This window comes from Homo sapiens, chromosome 6 (genome assembly GCF_000001405.40).
Source record: "Homo sapiens chromosome 6, GRCh38.p14 Primary Assembly".
NCBI classification, from domain to species: domain Eukaryota; kingdom Metazoa; phylum Chordata; class Mammalia; order Primates; family Hominidae; genus Homo; species Homo sapiens.
The window spans coordinates 6,644,372-6,662,673 of record NC_000006.12 but is presented as its reverse complement, the minus strand read 5'-3'; the positions used below and the strand labels follow the sequence as shown (position 1 = coordinate 6,662,673).

The 18,302-nt window shown below is 45.3% G+C and overlaps 1 protein-coding gene across 1 annotated transcript in view, besides 1 other annotated feature; it reads right to left on the bottom strand.

Moving 5' to 3' along the window:
• Positions 1-7,691: 7,691 nt before the first annotated feature.
• Positions 7,692-18,302, bottom strand: part of LY86 (lymphocyte antigen 86) — a 66,263-nt gene continuing 55,652 nt past the window's right edge. Inside the window, exons 4-5 of the mRNA NM_004271.4 lie at positions 12,997-13,049; positions 7,692-8,130 (exon numbers count right to left, since the gene is read on the bottom strand). Of these exons, the coding sequence (NP_004262.1) occupies positions 8,047-8,130; positions 12,997-13,049 (137 nt within the window). The 3' untranslated portion in view covers positions 7,692-8,046. The remainder of the gene's footprint in view (positions 8,131-12,996; positions 13,050-18,302) is intronic.
• Positions 8,627-8,817: a silencer, noted in NCBI's record as "fragment chr6:6654090-6654280 (GRCh37/hg19 assembly coordinates)". NCBI's record gives its function as "represses an EF-1alpha promoter that drives an FKBP-Casp9 reporter gene in an ReSE screen in phorbol 12-myristate 13-acetate-treated (for megakaryocytic differentiation) K562 erythroleukemia cells {active_cell/tissue: K562(+PMA)}" and the evidence as "EXISTENCE:reporter gene assay evidence [ECO:0000049][PMID:32094911]".

Sequence of the window (18,302 nt, the reverse complement as noted above, 5' to 3'; positions counted from 1 at the left end):
CAAGGCCAGGGTGCTTCAGGGGCTTCAAAGAGGGGCCCTTAAATTAGCGTGGGCATCAGAGAAGCACAGCTGCTTCGAGGGAGTGATATCCCAAAATGATGGAGTAGTCGTTTTATTTGGAAAAGAACACGCCTGTTATGGTGCAAGGGCGTTAATGACTTTTTGTTGTTATAATTGAACAAGGACAGTTCCAAGTATATATAAAAAATGACAGGAATAAGCAAGATTAGAAGGGAAGCCAATGTGTTTGTTTCACTTAGCAGTTCTGCCTCCAGAATCGCTTTTAGCTGAGATGTTTCCTGATTAAGGCTGGGGGATGGTTGGTAGTGACAAGTCGAGGTTGAGTAGGGTGGGGTCCTGATGAGATCAGGGAACATCTATCCACAGGAAAGACTGATGTCTTCTTAAGGCAGAATACTTAGCCCTCTTTCATCAACATGTGCCACATGGCAAGAAAAGATTCCAAAGCCCTTGCTGCTGGGTAAAGTTGTGTAGCTTGTGGACTGCACAAGGACCCCTGACCAAGGGGAGAGTGGGGACTGAAATCCAGCATATGCTCCCTTGCCCAGGCTGCGTGTCTTGGGATACCTCTTTGTTTTGCACAAACATACCATCTGCTTACTCAGTCATCTGCCACTGACTCAGGTTCCACCCAGAAAGGGCACCTTTTTCTAATTCATACAAGGTGCCATCTGTGCAAGAGGTAATTCCAAGCATGGTCTTTGGGTCTGGCTGCATGAGGCAGCATTTGTTTCTTTTGAAACAAAGGCCATTCTACCAGTTGGAAGTCTGCCAACGAGTCCCTGTTACACAATTAGAGCCTGGTTCTCTGGCAACCCTCATGTGTACTCCCACGGCATTAGCTAAATTACCACCACCCAGTTAACTTGCTAGCCTGCACTCGTACTCTATGGCTTTCAGCTTATGCACCTGAAGTCAAGACCATATGTGGTTTTTATGGAGCCAGAAAGTTAGGGATGCAATAAAGCTCTAAGTAACTGGCTAATAAATGTTAGTTATATGTTTCGTCTGGGTTGCTAGGACAATCCTCTACAAATTCTATTTTGTCGTATATTTAAACACTGAATACTTTGTACATTACTTTGAGCTTCCAGCTTCTTCTCCTTTAGTCTCCCCCCCTCCCCAGTTTGCTTTGGGAATGAGGTCAATGGATGTACTGTGGGGGTTCGGGGGTGTGCTCCAGTCCAGAATATGAACAGACAACAGGTTCTTACACTTATCGTCTGGAGGATCGCGAGCAATGCAGCCTGTCTGTTGTCTGGAGGATCGCGAGCAATGCAGCCTGTCTGTCTGAGAGCAGAGGGGAAAACAACAGTATAGGAATAGTGCAGGTGTTACAATAGTGCGCGTGGCCTTCCAGACGGCAGTGGGGGGAACAGAAGGAGCTGGGGTGGGGTGCTTGGTAAGGAAATGGGATCCCCATTCTGGGGTGGCTTCAAGGGAGGGAAAACCTGTTCACCAGGGAAATAGGAATTTCTTCTGTGTCAACAGTCTGTGGGTTCATATGAAGACATTTCAGCAATAATAACATAATTAAAAATCACTGACTTACAACCCTACATGCATGTTACAGAATCTTCAGTTTCTCCTCACTCCCTACCCTGCTTATTTCTGGAAGCCTCATGTCAGCTCAAGAACAGTTCTTTCCCGTTTCACCCTTTAGCTCCCTCTTCCTGGGGCTGCTGTCCAAGCCGCTTCAGGTACATGAAGACAGAGTCTCTCTGCTCTGGTGTGCACCGGGGTGGCAAGGGGCCTGGGTCTATGCCTTGCTGGCCTTCCGTCCTCTGTGTTCTGGGTCCCCTCAGGTTCATGGAACAAGCTATGCTGTGCCCTACCCTCCTGCCCTTATGCCACCTTGCCACCGGGACCCCATGAAATGCTGCAGGTGCCCTGGTATTTCTCCAAATCCCTTATAAAGTTAGCTCCTAGCTGTTGCTTCTCTCTGCAGGAGGCTCTGCCACAAAACCAAGGGGCTAGGGAGAGAGCTGGGACCCCAGGCCATTCCTCCCACTCTGCCTCCGCCCCCAGGAGCTTGTCCACAACATGTAGGCACCAGGACCTCCAGTGTCCCAGCCAACCTTCAAGGGCCAGCATGTTCCCTCCTTCTACCGTGAAGCCAAGCCACGTGTCCTCCCCGCCTCAAAGCCCCCCACAGTGCTTTGTTCTTGTCTTGTGCTGCTTACCATGGTTTCTCCATCACAGGAGATTTTTGGTACTCTTCTTCTTCCCTTTTCCTAAAAGATAAGCTGAGTTTGAATTGGGATTATACTATATATTATTTATTTTTTATATTTGATGTATTGTGCTTAATACAATGCTCAGCAAACCGTAGGTGCTGACTAAAGATTTACGAAGGGAAAGAAGAAAACAGTGAAAAAGCCAGATTATGCTTATGGCACATTCACCCAGGTGGGTTTGACAGTGAGTGACCAAAAGCTTTTGTGGAAGAGCATGAACAAATCATGAAACTGACTAGTATTCATGATCCCTTTTTGTTCTGTGCTGTCATCATTGAGTTAATGTAACTGTCATTAGCCTACCTTTGTTTTTAGCTCATTTGCTGCTTGAGTTAACACATTCTGCAAGCCTGCAACTAAAACCATGAAGTGTTTCTTTATTATATGGTGTCTTTCCAAACAGCCAAGCAACATTAGGTAGAAAGAGCCTGGATTTGGAGTGAGACAGAATTGAATCCTGGCTCACTGATGGAGCTCACAAGCCTGGGGAACCTTAGGCCAGTTCCTCAATTTCTCTAAACCCAGACTTCCTCTTCTATCACGTGGACCATTGTGTTACGCACCCACAGGCTGTTCTGGAGATGAAGTATTGAGATGCAGGCCGAGCACAATGCTGGCGCAGAGAGCCTGCACAAATCGTTGTTAGCTTTTACACAATTATTATTATCATGGTGGTTGTTCTGCCTTCTCAGATGTTATCTTTCTGCACTCACATATATTAATCTTTGTAGTTTATGTGGAAACCTTATTGCATCCCCTTGATTATGTCAATGATGTTCTCTGGCTCTTTCTTGAATTTTCTTCTACCACTTCTGAGTGAAGAAAAGGAAAGAAATGATATGATAAAGTCTTCGGTGGCAGGGATATTTTCTGTTTTTCCACCCTTGGGTGGGTTTCAGGGAAATCCAGAAAAATACCAGCTGGCAGAAGGTATCATTGTTTTTGGCTAAAGGAACATTGATACATACCCTTTTCCACAGAAGTGAGGAGACCAAACCACTGGAGGAAAGGAGGTGGTTTTGTGTCACATGTGAAAAGAAAGCTGGGCGCAAGGGGAGAAGAATATTTCAGGCCAGAGCATTTGAATGCAGCTGAAGGCTTCCGTTCCACACTAAGTAACTGAAGACATTTACAAACTAGATGAAAATAACTCTTTTATAAGCCCTATAGGACCCCTGCTTGCCTGATAAAATGATTGGAAAATTAGGTAGACTAACTTGTTTTGCTGATTGAGAAAAATACGGCCAATTCAAACCTGCAGTTGAACTGTTGAGATAATAAACTCCGCCATTCTAACGAGTCTGGGTTGTCATCAGGATGTGGCCCTTTCTGTTCTCGTGCTAGCTATTTTGGATTATCTTTCCTGAAGGCAGACGTAATTGTTACATTTGCAGATGTCACATTTAGTTATGCAGGCATTGGGTGTGTGTCTTTGTGTGCAGGAAACAAGTTTAATTAAAAAAATACACGTATTTTCTTTTTTTTTTTTTTTTTTGAGACAGAGTCTTGCTCTGTCACCCAGGCTGGAGTGCAATGGCATGATCTCCGCTCACTGCAACCTCTGCCTGCCTCCCGGGTTCAAGTGATTCCCCTGCCTCAGCCCCCTGAGTAGCTGGGATTACAGGCATGTGCCACCACGCCAGGCTGATTTTTGTATTTTTAGTAGAGACGGGGTTTTACCACGTTGGCCAGGCTGGTCTCGAACTCCTGACCTCAAGTGATCCGCCCACCTCGGCCTCCCAAAGTGCTGGGATTACAGGAGTGAACCACCACACCTGGCCCACATTTTCTTTCATAGGCCCTTTTGGCCTGGTTATATTGTTTCTGTTTGGGGGCCAGAAAGGTGTATCCAAATGTTTTCCTTAAATTCTTTTCAGAGTTCATGGCCCAGGGAACATGCCCCCATGCCAGGTCTAATAAAACTAGCTACACTTAGAAGAAATCAAGATGCCAAGGGACCATCTCAGGACCCAGAAGGGAATGTGGGCTTATGGGTGAGGGCTGGGCTTCTAGGATTGTTTGCTCTGATGATGTAGGAGGATGGGAGAGGTAAATTAGGAAAAGAGGCTTTAGCACTGCAAGTGAACACCCACCTTAACATAATAATGACTTATTTTTATTGAGTGACGTGCCAGGCCCTATTCTCAGCATTTTACATGCATTTTCTCATTAATTCTCACACTGTCTCTACAAGATAGGTACTATTATTATGGTCAGCACCTACAGATGAGGAAACTGGGGCTTAGACAATAAAAGTCACTTGCCCAGTGAACAGCTAGGAGAGAATTAGAACTTAAAACTGGCCTAATTCGAGACATGATCTGGACATGTCCTTTGGCCTAGTTTGAAACATGCCCTTCCTCTCCCTTTACCCCTTGGCAACTTCCCCAGTTTCCACTTAAGGATATGTGTGGTTCCAGTGGGAATAACTCTGATCCAGGTCTAGGGGTGGGGCATGTGACATAGGCTAAGCCAATCAGGGTAGGGTCAAAGTGATTGGTCAGGATGTTACTGAGCCAGCAATGGGCTCACTGCCTAATGTGCATTGTGGCCAATCCCACTGCACTGGCTTTTAAGAAAAGAAAAGGTTTACTGCAAGTCTACCAGCAAGGAGACAGGAGGAAACACTCCAACCTGTCTCTGCAAGTTGGAGTTTAGGACAGGTTTTATAAGCATGGGGTCATGAGGCATGATCTGATTGGATTTTGCAATGAGGTGATGCTGGGAGGCATAATCTGATTGGATCTTGCAATGAGGTGATGCTGGGAGGCATGATCTGATTGGATCTTGCAATGAGGTGATGCTGGGAGGCATGATCTGATTGGATCTTGCAATGAGGTGATGCTGGGAGGCATGATCTGATTGGATCCCGTCATGGGGTGATGCTGGAAACTGATATGATTGGATCCTGGATCCTGACATGCCGTGTTCACTTCTTAATTAAGTTCCCACTCCTCAGTCTTGCACTGAGGTCCCCCTGTGGTCGCATACTTGGTTCATCTGGGCATGCTCGGGTTACATAACCTTCAACCTGGAGTCCACGGCAACCGAAAAACAACTCACAACTTTATCATATAAGAGTTGAGCCAGATTGGTCTGCTGTGGTTACAAGGAGAGGTCATGTGACCCAAGCCATTCTAATCAGAATGAGTAACAGGGTTTTGGGATAAAGGTCTCTTTTGCCTTCTGTACTGTGGACAGTGTGGATGTGAGGTCTCCAGCTACTGAAATGATTTGCTATTGTGGGACAGACTGTCTGAGGGTAAAGGCAATATTCCAGGAGACCCGAGGTGGAAGAACTGTGGAGAAATGGAGGTGAAGAGCCGATGATGAATGAACCTCAGCAGCAAACGCTGGCTGACACCTAAACCACCCTGGGACTCAGTAGTCATGGGAGACAACCTAGTCCCCTATGCATAAGCCAGATTCAATTGAGTTCTCTGTTCCTCATAGCCAAAACGTTCTAAGAGATGCGATCACACTGTCCTGAGGGGCTTTATCAGCATTCTGCCTAGACTCTAGCCTGACAAAGCTTCCCTTGGGCACTGGAATGTTCCTCAAAAATATTTTTTAAAACGTTCTATACGTAACGATGGAAATTGCCCTCAAAATATAAAGAAGGGCTGGTGGGCACTCCAATGTCTGAAGCTGGCTGATTTTCATAATAATTCCTTAATTGTGGCAGCACTGCATCATCCTGAACCAAGCTGTTTTTTTTTTTTTTTTCTTCAGAAGAGTTTATTGAGGACACATTTTTGGAGTTGTTGATAGTGATTTTTGAAACAGTAGCAATTCTCTTTACAGGAGAAGTCAATTTAGTTTGATAGATTGTCTGGGCACTTTGACCCCACCCCAGCCAGTAACCACACAATGGCTAGCCTGAGAGGGCTCGGCTTGGGGTCACCCACCTCCCCTGACAACCCTGCTTCCTGGGCTGGCCCTTTCAAAGTCATCTTAGTTACTACATCCTGCCAGAGTGTTAAATAATGACAGACTCTAGCGTTTCTCCTAGCAGGGCTGTTCGTATTCCAAGAGGAGACTCCTGAACATTGAAATATGTTTTCAACTTGCTGGAATAAAACTAATGGTGAAATTTAAGGCCCATGACAGGACACTAAGAAAAGACATATTCTGGGACAAAGAAACATTTTTTTTTCTCTCAAATCATGTCCTTAGTGAAACGGCTGTGTACTTGTATATTCAGCTATGACTAGGATAGTCTCCATATATGGAAATTCCAGTTTAACACAAACCTATAGCATCTGAAACTTTCTCTCTCCCTCCCTCTCTCTCTCACGCACACGCACCCACACAGTCAATTTAAAGAAGAGGGCAAAGGGATTGGGAAGGGACTGGCTGAGTTCCACCTGTGTCTTTGGAAGGCTGTGACAGCTGTCTTGTACTGTTAGAACATGTGCGTACACAGAGTCTAGCCAGGGACTTTACTACTTGTGGTGATGGTTACTGAAAAGGGAGAGAGGTGAATGTCTCAAGCTAGAGGGAATGGCCAGGGGCAGGAATCATTTGCTATTCTTGTGCGTAACACCGTCACCCCCATGTACGTTCAGAGGTTTGCTCCTGAGCCTAGTATGACCACGCACGTCTTTTCCCTCGAGCATTATGGGCCTAGGCAAGGACGCTGCTGCAATTTTGCCTGCTCATAACCCAGAAAACCTCAGATGCTGGTTTTAAAGTTTGACAGGCATTTTTGACCTGCTATTCTAGGTGGTTTACTGATGTATAAACAGTGATTAATAGCAACTACTGTTTTTTAAACTATGGAATTTTTTTCTCTTTTAATCTCTAATATAGTGGCATTTTTATGAATGATAGTGTCAACTCACCCACCTTACTCCAGCCCCTTAGCAGGAGCAAGAGGGCCAGCAGGGACACTGGAAGGACAGGGGCGTCGGATGGTGAAGGGGCTATGCAGCCCACCATGCGATCAGTGCATCCCAGGAGAGAAGACGGGGCCGCAGAAATGGCTCTGGAAGTAGCATGGGCAACATGCTCATTTACGGAGAGCATCGTAGAAGACAACTTAAGAACACAGCACCTGATACACATTAAGTGTTCAGGAGTTATTCCTTGCATTCATTAATGAATGCAGTAATGAACGCCAGCATATGCTGAGGTCAAGTGTAATCATGCTTTGAGGGATGAAGGTGAAATGAATGTTTGGATAAGCGAGAGTATGATGTCCCTATTCGTGAGGTTGCATCAGCTTCTCGGCCCTCATGGTCCAAGGGTGGGGGCCTGCCCAGGAGAAGCAATGGCACATTTTCCCAGTGTTCTAATTTTAGCCAGGCTGTCACCCTCCTGAATTTCTTGGAACTGCTTATGCTGCACCAGCATCCGGCACTGTATCTGGAGGAAATGACTTTTTAACTACAGCATTGTAGTAAGATTCTTTGAACAAACCACAATGAACAATGGTGGCCAGCTTTCTTTATTCTTGGTAACTGTGAGGAAGCACTCCTAAAAAGTTGAAAAGCAGGTGAGTCTGGTGGGAGGCGACCAATTAGAGAAAAAGGATGGACCCTCAAGACTGCTTAAGGACTGCCAAGAGGCTCCTTAGAAACAGATACATTCGGGGACTTCATTACATCTGTGGAGTCTGGGGATGTCTGGTCCTGGGACTAAAATTAGCAGCTGCACTCTTTGGGGGCGCTTCTTTGTAGAGCCTCTCTCTGTCATCAGCTGCTTCTCCTCCCACAGTAGGTTCAGTCAGAGGAGCTTGGAGGTCCCACGAGATGCAGCTGGCTGTGATTTTTGCTACAGGCCACAGTCAGGAGCACATGATAGTAGCATTGGCACAGGCCACGGTGGACCGTTTTTCAGTGTACAGTTCCAGCAAAACCTGGTATTCTCCCTGCAAGGGGCACAGGTCAAGTATTAGACGTGTGACCCACAGTACAATTAACCATTTAACAAATATTTACAGAGAAACTTTTATGTGCTGGGTGCTGTTCTGGACATTGTGGATAACGTAGAACAAGACAAGCCAACCCCTGCCCTGTGGAGCTGACAGCATCTCTGGGAGAGACAGACCACCCTTATGATATGTGACTATGTATGGTGTGTCAGGTGCTCATGTCATGGAGAAAACTCATGCAGGAAGGGAGTGGATGGAAGCACTGGATGGGTCAAGGCAAGTGCTGGTCTGCAATTTTGAGCAGGGTGGTGAAAGGAGGCCCTGCTGAGACGACGACATTTAGGCAAAGACCTGAAGCAGATGCAAGAAGGTGCAGTGCTGCTATGGGCTGGGGCCCCCACCTTAGAGGGGCAGAAGGAGGCCAGTGGGGCTGCAGGGAGTGGGGGGATGGGGGGGGTGAGGTAAGGGCAACACAGGAGGCCAGACTCTTAGGGCCTCAAAGGCCATGGTGGGGACATCAGCTTCCACTCTGAAAGGGACTCTGGTCAGGAGAGGGTGGCCTGCCCTGGCGCCTGTGTCGGTAAGATCCCTCTGGCTGCCTCACTGAAAAGCCCAGATGGGAGGCGATTGCAGGAATCCAGGTGAGAGATGAAGATGACTTGGAGTAGAGGTGGAGGTGGGGGAAGGCTTTGGGTGCCAGAGAGATTTTGAAAGAACAGCCAATAGGATCCGCTGAGGAAACGCAAGTGGGTGGGAGAGAAAGAAATGGGTTAAAGGTGACTCCAAGGCTCCTGGCCTGAGCAACTGGAAGGAGAAAGGTTTGTATGCTCAGACAGAGAAGACCCCGGGGAGCACAGTTCACCAGCACAAAACCAAAATGCACCATCACAGAAAGAATGGCTGCCTTTGGGGATCCTTGCTGGCAGCAACACTGTAAGGAGGTCTCCCTTCCTTTGCAGTCAGCTTGGCAGAAGCCACCTGGCAGCCAGGTCCTATGAGGACTGTAGAAGAGCCATTCTGGTTTTGTTTGCTGCCAGCACCCCAGTCCTGCACCCCAGCAGCCACGGAGCGGTGATGTGTTTGTAGACACGAATCTGGAGAGGAAAATGCTCTGGGGTGGTTGGAGGGTCGCAAGCGGAGCAGAGGGACTGTGGCAGAGGAGGCCAGGAGACTGCTGGCACATCTTTGAACTGCCTGTCACCCAAAGGAGGAAAGAGTTTAATCTGTATAAAGCAAGAGGGAAGGAGTAGGTGAGACCACCGGAGAGAAGCTGCATGAAAGGTGGCTTTTGTTAGAAGGGAGCAACTTTCTAGCAATGAGCAGAGCTTCCAAAGAGAGTGGAGTCCCCAACACTGAAATTGTATTCAAGAGAACCAGGCTGTGCTCTGGATGGTGCCTTGGGTGTGATTCCATGATTCTAGACGCTCCCATGAGTCACACTCCTCAAATATTGAGCAGCTGTAATTTTAGAAATAGTGTTAGGAATATAACCAAAGCAGTCCAAATGTTAGAGAATTAATTATGAGTAAAGACCGGCTCAAATTTATATCTCGTTGTGTTTCATCGTTCTCTTCCTCCTCATGTACTTTTCTTTAAAATCTCTATGTGCATTTAGACACACACCTACAAATGTATTGAACAACACAAGAATTTTTCATTACTACATTATGAACCTAAGAGGAGCTGTTGTATTTGAAGGAAGGGGTTCTAGATTATGAATTACAGATATCACAGACTCTGGTATAAGAGATAAGAATATTTAGGCAAGCGTGCCAGGCTGGAGGCAGATGGAGGTGTGTGCTGGGAGGCCAGGAGGCCAGGGTAGGGAAGGACTGAGTGCAGCGTTTCTGCTGTTGAGGAGGGCACAGAGTTTGTAAGTTAGGAATTTGTAGGTGCACCTTTGGCAATACATGGGTCAGGCTGTGCCTACAAGTTGTTGTCCACATGCTTCGGGAGCCCAAAGGATCCCCTAAATTTTCATTCAGAAAGCAGGAGGCATAGACAGAGGACAGCAGGTAGGGCTTCAATCCGGGCCAAGGGGTTGGATGAGTTCAGAGGGAAATAATACCAAGACCCTGGAGAATGATCGCTGAGTGGGAGCGTTTTTGGCCACATGGGAACTGCCATTAGCCCAGAGCCCATCTCTGGAGGATTTAGCTGGAGGAGGGGATATGGGGTACGTCTTTTACAACCAAAAGTCTTTGAACTGTGTCTGTTCCATATTAAGAAAGCAAAGCCTCCGTGCATTGCGGGCCAGCCACGGCTGACCTGCAGCCGGTGTAGGGAGCCCATTTTGGGATTAAGGCCTCCAGCTCTCTCTGCTGTACATGCGATGCCCTCACACTGGGCAATATTTGCTTGAGTACCATCAGCGGTTGAAGAACTTACGTTCTGCACTTCCTTCATGCACTGTAGGTGATTAAAATAAAGCTTTTTACTTATCTGGTCAACCTTTTTCCTTTTTTTTTTTTTTTTTTTTTTTTTTGAGATGGAGTCTTCCTCTGTTGCACAGGCTGGAGTGCAGTGGTGTGATCTCGGCTCACTGCAACCTCCGCCTCCTGGGGTCAAGCGATTCTCATGCCTCAGCCTCCCGAGTGGCTGCGATTACAGGCGTGCACCACCATGACTGGTTAATTTTTGTATTTTTAGTAGAGATGGGGTTTCACCATGTTAGCCAGGCTGGTCTTGAACTTCCAACCTCAAGTGATCTGTCTGCCTCGGCCTCCGAAAGTGCTGGGGTTACAGGCATGAGGCACTGTGCCTGGCCTCTCAACTTACTTTCAAAGGGGTTTTCTGACTTTAAGAAGTTCTTTTCCCCTCTATCTTATAACAGTTGCTGAGTAACTGGTTTAAAAAGAAGCCAACAATGCAAAAGTGAAAGTCAATTGTTAGTAAATTTTAAGTCAGCCTCTAGTTGGGAGGAGGGTCAGAAGAACAATGGGGAAAGAAAAACAATTCAAATAGCAAAGATTTAAAGAAAAATGGAACTCTCTGGGAGAGTTTAGGGCCCTCATACTAGAAGTGAAGACAGGTGTAGTTTTTCTTTCTTGCAAAACTTTTGTATTTTACTGAAAGGCCTGAGGAGGAAACTAGAGATTTCCAGAGGGAGAGGGCTGGAGACTTCCCAGCTGCAAGAGCAATGATAGTGGGAATCTGAGATGGTAGCAAGATGGCACTCTGACATAGGAACACAGAGGCTGGGAAAGAAAGGAAACAAACCCAGAGGTGAAACTAAGTTAGAGATTCTTTATGGAGAAAGAGACCTTTTTCTTCAGCCAAATACAGGTTTTGGAGAACTGAAAGGATGAGGTTGTAAACAAAACTATTTAAAGTGATTACATTTTTGTAATTGCACCCCCATGCTTATTGCAGCACTATTCACTACAGCAAAGACATGGAATCAACCTAAGTGTCTATGTATGGATGAATGGATAAAGAAGATGTGGTATATATACACAATGGAATACTATATGGCCATAAAAAAGAATAAAATCTTGTCATTTGTGGCAACATGGATGGAACTGGGGGTCATTATCTTAAGTGAAATAAGCCAGGCACAAATACAAATATTGTTTATTCTCAATTATCTGTGGGAGCTAAAAAACATGATCACATGGAGATAGAGAGTGGAAAGATAGATACCAGAGTGGGGAGGGAGAGGATGAGAGGGAGAGTATAAAGAGAAGTGGGTTGAAGGGTACAAACACACAGTTAATAGAAGACATAAATTCAGTGTTTGATAGCAGAGTAGGGTGACTATAGTTAAGAAAAATGTATTCAGTGATGGACATCCTAAATACCCTGACTTGATCACTACATATTACATACACATAACCAAATCTCACATGTACTGAATACATCAGCATGCATTTTAAAAAATCACATTTTTGTGATCCTTTTCATATTGTTCCATAAGATTCTCTGAGGGGCCTGTAATCCCAGCACTTTGGGAGGCCGAGGCGGGTGGATCACGAGGTCAGGAGTTCGAGACCAACCTGGCCAATATGGTGAAACCCTGTTTCTACTAAAAATCCAAAAATTAGCTGGGCGTGGTGGCATGTGCCTGTAGTCCAAGCTACTTGGGAGGCTGAGGCGGAAGAATAGCTTGAACCTGGGAGGCAGAGGTTGCAGTGAGCTGAGATCATGCCCCTGCACTCCAGCCTGGGAGGCAGAACAAGACTCTCTCAAAAAAAAAAAAAACCATTATCTGAGGGGTAGCATATTGAACATTTATTGCTTATAGCAGAGTGATGTAAATTGAGTCATTTAATAATGTCACATTATCTTGAACAGAAAGGAATTAGTGGAAAATTCTACTCTTAGCTGTGAGCTTTGCCAGCAAATGCTAAGGATGTGGGCATTTTATTGACTTAGTGGCAGCTTATGAGTAACAATGAAAGGACAGTAACTGGAGGACCTTCATGCCTTCATGGCTTGTGCATCTTCCTTTCTCTGAACCGCCAGCCTCCTGAGCTCGGTCCCAGCACATGCATGGTGCCGCCCACACAGCCCAGCAGCACTGCCATATGGAACCCCACAAATGCCGTAATCCTGCTGGACAAGACGCCGGCATCCCTCTCAGTGGGAGGTTTGTACTCGGAGGATTCCCTAAGGTTCACTGACATGTAAAATATTAAATGCCAAAATGACAAAGCCAGTGTGTCAAGAAATTTCAAGTGCCCACTCTGAAGCAGCAGTTTTATTAAGAAAGGGTTTTTGCAGGGATGGCCTATGGATAAGTTTTAAACTGTTTAATTCTTTCCTTCTCTTCTTTCTTGGTTTCTCCTCCTTTCCCTCCTTCTAGCCTTCTTCTTCTTCTTCAAGAAACAAACTATTTAATACAAGAAGTAAGTAATATCTTACCTGAGGAATAGTAAATTCAGGATTATTGACAGGCCCAGCATAGTAAATCTGCTCTGAAAAAATATATAAAGCATAGATGATGTTATTCAATCATTTAAAAAAATGATTCATTCACATGATTTGTGGTTACACAGATGTGTGACAATTATTGGCACCAAAATAAGAGCAGCTATTGCTAGAAATGTTTTCATTTCCTGATCTACACCTACCATTCATTCACTTATTCATTCATGCCACAAATATTGGTCGGGCACCTTCCATGTGGCAGGCCCTGGGGATCCTTGGATGAAAAAAAGAAGTCTCTGTCCACACATTGCTTACATTCTGTTAAGGTCTGGCTATGTCCCCACTCAAATCTCATCTTGAATTGTAGTTTCCATAATTCCTGCATGTCATGGGAGGGACCCAGTGGGAGGTAACTGAATCATGGGGGTGGATTTTACCTGTGATGTTCTCACGATAGTGAATAAGTCGCATGAGATCTGATGGTTTTATAAAGGGCAGTTCCCCTGCACACGCCCTCTTGCCTGCCACCGTATAAGATGTGCCTTTGCTCCTCCTTTGTCTTCCACTATGATTGTGAGGCCTCCCCAGCCCTCTGGAACTGTGAGTCTGTTAAACCTCTTTTTCTTTATAAATTACCCAGTCTTGGGTGTTTCTTCATAGTGGTATGAAAATGAACTAATGCATATTCTACTGAGGAGAATGATGATTCAGAAATAACTAAACAAGACGATATCCAGATTGTAACAAGTGCTGGAAAGAGACACCAAGTAATATGAGAGAGGCAGGAGGGTGTGGTGGGGGAGGGGCCAGGCTGGATCCAGGTTACTCAGGGTTAAGTCCCAAGATTAGTTGACTGTGGACAGTTGTTATCTCTTTGGGCTCAGTTTCCTTGTTTTTTTCTTTTTTCCAAGATGGGTAAGATAATGACAATAACAGTAACTACTTCCTAGGGTGGTGGGGAATTAAAAGAGGTAATCAATAAACAGCACTAATAACAATGCCTGGGAAGCACTCCATGAATACTTGCTAATGCCAGGAACTGGGAGGCACCATGTTCCACAGGGTGGCAGGTCATGGAGGCGTCTGTAAGGAGGTAGCATTTGAGCCAAGTCCTGAAGGAGCAGAATGGGCCAAGCATTTAAATAGCTGGGGGAAGATCATCTCAGAATAACAAAATAAGGACAGAGGCCTTGATGTGGAAAAGAGTTTAGGAAATTAGGAGGATAGAGGGAGATGAGTCTGCTGAAGCACAGTGAACAAGAGGAACTGTGTTGAGAAGAGCTTGGAAAGATTGAGGGGTGACAGATATTTCAGGACCTGCAGGAAATGGTAGGGAGTTCAGATTTCATTCCAGAGGCAGTGGAAATGTGTTAAAAGTCATGTCAAAATAGCTAATTTATGTTTTGCAGAGACATTCTGCTGTGTAGAGAATGCAGAGGAGAGGCCAAGTGTGAAGGCTCTTCTGTGGCCAAGGTAAATGATGGATTGGTGAAGGGTGGTGGTGGTGGAGGTAGAGAACACGAATGAGATCACAGCTGTGTTGGGTGATAGCACCCACTGATGAGTGGGTATAGAGAGTGGGGGCCAGGAAGATTTTGGTTTGAGCATCTGGATAGATGGGGGTGCCATTTATTGAGATTAGGGAAGCCTGATGAGGAAGTGTGTGTGTGTGTGTGTGTGTGTGTGTGTGTGTGTGTGTGTGTATGTGATGATTGAAGAGCTCTATTTCTGGGAGATGGTTAATAAGAATCCTTGGAAGCAGTTGGCTATACAAGTCTGGAATTTTAGGGAAAAGGTAAGAATGGAGCTATGAATATCAGAGTTATTAACATGTGGTGATTAAGCCATGGGACAGGATGAGATGCCTCCCTCACCCAAAGGAGATAGAATTAATCAACAGAGGAGAGGACAGGACCTCCTGAGGCCCTCCAACATTCAGAGGTTGGGTTGAGGAGAAGCCAACCAAGGAGACTAAGAAGAGACGGTCAGTGGAGTGGATGGTAGTCAGAGACTGAGGGATCAAGGAAGCCAGGAGGTGAATGTTTTTCAAACAGGAGGGTATTGCCAGCCATGCTGAATGCTGCTGCTGAGAGTCTGAGTAAGATGAGAACAGAACTGTGCAGTGGATTTGGCAACATGGAGGTCATTTGGTGACCTTGACAAGAACACTGGAGAGATGAGTACAGATGCCTGAATGGGGTGGACTGAAGAGAGATAAGGAGGTGAGGAATTAAGAGTTTTGTTATAAGAGGGAGCAAAAGAAAAAAAAAGATAACTGAAGGAGAGTGTGGTATTAAGAATGGCTTGTTTCTTTGTTCGAGATGGGAGATACTGTACCATATTTGTTGTTCCAAGGGAATAATCTTGTAGAAAGAGAGATTGAAGATGCAGAAGAGGGAATAACTGAAGACATGAAGGGTTTAAGAAGGTGGAAAGGAAGGCTATTAACACTCCCTCCTGCATTTGAGAGAAGCATGAATATTACTCCCACAATTGTAGGAGAGAAAACAGAGCAGAATGAGTTCAGGTGTAGATACGTTTGTAGATGGGCCAGTAAACCAATAGTGGGGCTCCTGACTGATTACTTTCATTTTTGCAGTGAAGGTCACAGACAGGTAGGGGGCACTAGATGGCGAGTGCCTGTGTTGTGTTGAGTAGCAAAAGGAGGAATACAATATTCATGGACAGTGGGGAAGAAATCTACTTGAGAAATACAGTAAGATTTCTAGGCAGTGTTGAGTGCTTTTTTTTGAGGTTTGTGGCCATAAATTTAAAGATACTCCAGTTAGCCCAGATGTATATTTTCTTAGAGACATTCAGCAGCTCTGATGCTACTGAAGGTCAATGGTTGGGTTGGAGTTTCACTGGATAAGAATGAAAAGAAGAGAAAGTGAAGGCTGTTGGGTTAGACATAAGGAAAAGATTATAATAATATACCGTAGAATCTATGGCGAGTAAGGAAGAAAGTGAAGGCAGGAGGGAATTGTTGATTGTAACAGTGGGGAAGTGAGTTGAATGGAGTTTCTATTATTGCAGTCAAGGTGCTAGAATTGGTGAGCTGGCAGGATATGAGGAAGCCACATGGCAGAGGGCTTGGCATTTAGATTTCAGAAAGGGTGCATTTTTACAGGCTGTAAGATATCCAGGGTTGACATAAGAGATGGTGGTTGAGGTGTAAAGATGGAAATGGTTGTTGGAAGTAAGGGGGTGAAAGAACTGAGACATCATGGTGCTTGGTGGGCCATCCACATCAGTATTGAAGTCAGCAAGAAGGATGATGCCTTGCCCAGCCCCTCAGTGATTACTGCCTCCCCTGTGATCCCCCAGCACTGCAAACTTTGTGTATTCGAAGCATCGTGGCTAAGAGCACACGTCCAGGGGTCAGACTATCTGGGCTTGAATCTGAGCTCTTTTTTCTATTAATTGGGCAAGTTACTTAACCTGTCTGAGCAGTACATGTAGGCACTGTAACTAATATGTGGTTACATATAGAGGGTTCAGAGGGACATCCTGCCCGGGGTTCATTTGTCATGCTGGTGCTTTGCCCAGCCTGAGGATGCACCCCTTGCATTGCAATCTATGCTAATGGTGCCCCTAACAGATATGCACTGCAGTGGTTCAGCTACTGGAACATGATTTCGTTTTTGGAAGTTATCTTTTTCCCAGTAGATACTCTCTGACCCAAGCCAAGACAATCAGAGCAGAGAGACAAAGAGACCCCTTCCCAATCTGTTCTGGCAAGAGAAGCAGAACTCATCAGTCTCTAGAGCTGCCCACTTTCTGCCTGGTGTTCCAGCTTTCTTGCCAATTCTGTGACTCCTAAATGTCCTTTCAAGAAATTCCCTTTGCTTTTGTTGGCTGGATTGGGTGTCTTCTGCTTGCAACTCAGGATGTGGCTGCTACGGGCATGAACAAGCCAAGAGCACTCCTGCTGGCTATCAGGGTTTGGACACAGTGTGGCTCAGGAGCAGAATCCAAGAACAAGGACTGGTGTGCCATCCCTGTCTGATCTGGCTGGGTTCCCTTGGGCATGTTTATACCTGCTTTATGCAGGTATATTCTACAAATTGTGCAGGTATATTCTACAAATTCTACAAATTGCTGTAGGGTGGCACAGCCTCCTTCCTTCCTTCCTTGACCTAGGAAGGAGACAGACTTGGGTTTGAGACCCAGCTCTCTGACTCACTAGCTAAGTGATGTTGGGCAATTTGCTCAGCCATCCTGCAACTCAGCTTTTGTGCTTGCAAATCGAAATAGCAATGCCTCCCCATAGAGCACTGAGAGGACTGGAGAACTTGTGTGTAAAGCCGCTGAGCAGAATGTGGTCCCCAGGAAGGGTAGAAATGGCAATTAGTTATTAACTATATTATTATTTACCCAGGTGTGAAAAACAGTAACAGAATGGACATTCACTTGGTGGATGCTGAAATACGCAATGAGACTAGGTTTTGGAGCTTCTTGCTTGAGCCAGTGTATGTAACTTCTAAGTTCTGTCTGTGCCTTTTTTTTAAACTTTCGTTTTAAAAAATGGATGAGTATGACTCTTTGAAGAACAACACTCTAATGATACCTAACATTTTGTTATGCTTATTTAATGCTCCCGGGGTTTGCTCATTTGTGTTCTTCACCATTAAGAGGTCCTTCACTGGGCTGAGAGGTTTTCATTAAATTGGTCTCTTACAGTTTACAGTTTCAATTGGAGCTTTTTTGGGGGCTCATGAAGTTCTTGAGGTAACTGCAAGTAACTCATGAAATTGTCTTTTTTTTTAACCTGATAAAACAACACCTAAAATTAAATTTTCACTCCATCCTTTCTCAGATCCTCTCCAATTCTGAGATTCCTTTAATTAACATTCTCACACTCCAGGACTATAAAAAGAGCCCCAGTATATTTGCACCCATTTCTTCCGTTCCTTTCATGTGCAATCTTTATCAGTTTTTAATGTGCAGTGGATTAAAGAAATTCACCTCCCTGGTTCTGAACACTTGAAGTCATTTCTGAATATCAGCTTTTTTTTTTTGACCCAGATCTTTGGGTGATTGTCACTGAGTGTCTTTTTGAAAAGAAAATTGGTTTTTAAATTGTGGAAATAAAAGGTCCCAAGGGTTTTGGGTGACATCAACTTGATACGAGGGCCTGTGTCTTCCTTTTTTTTTTTGAAACAGGGTCTGGCTCTGTCACCCAGGTTGTGCAATCTCGGTTCATTGCAACCTCCATCTTCCAGGTTCAGGTGATCCTCCCATCTTCCCACCTCAGCCTCCTGAGTAGCTGAGACTACAAGTGCGTGCCACCATACACG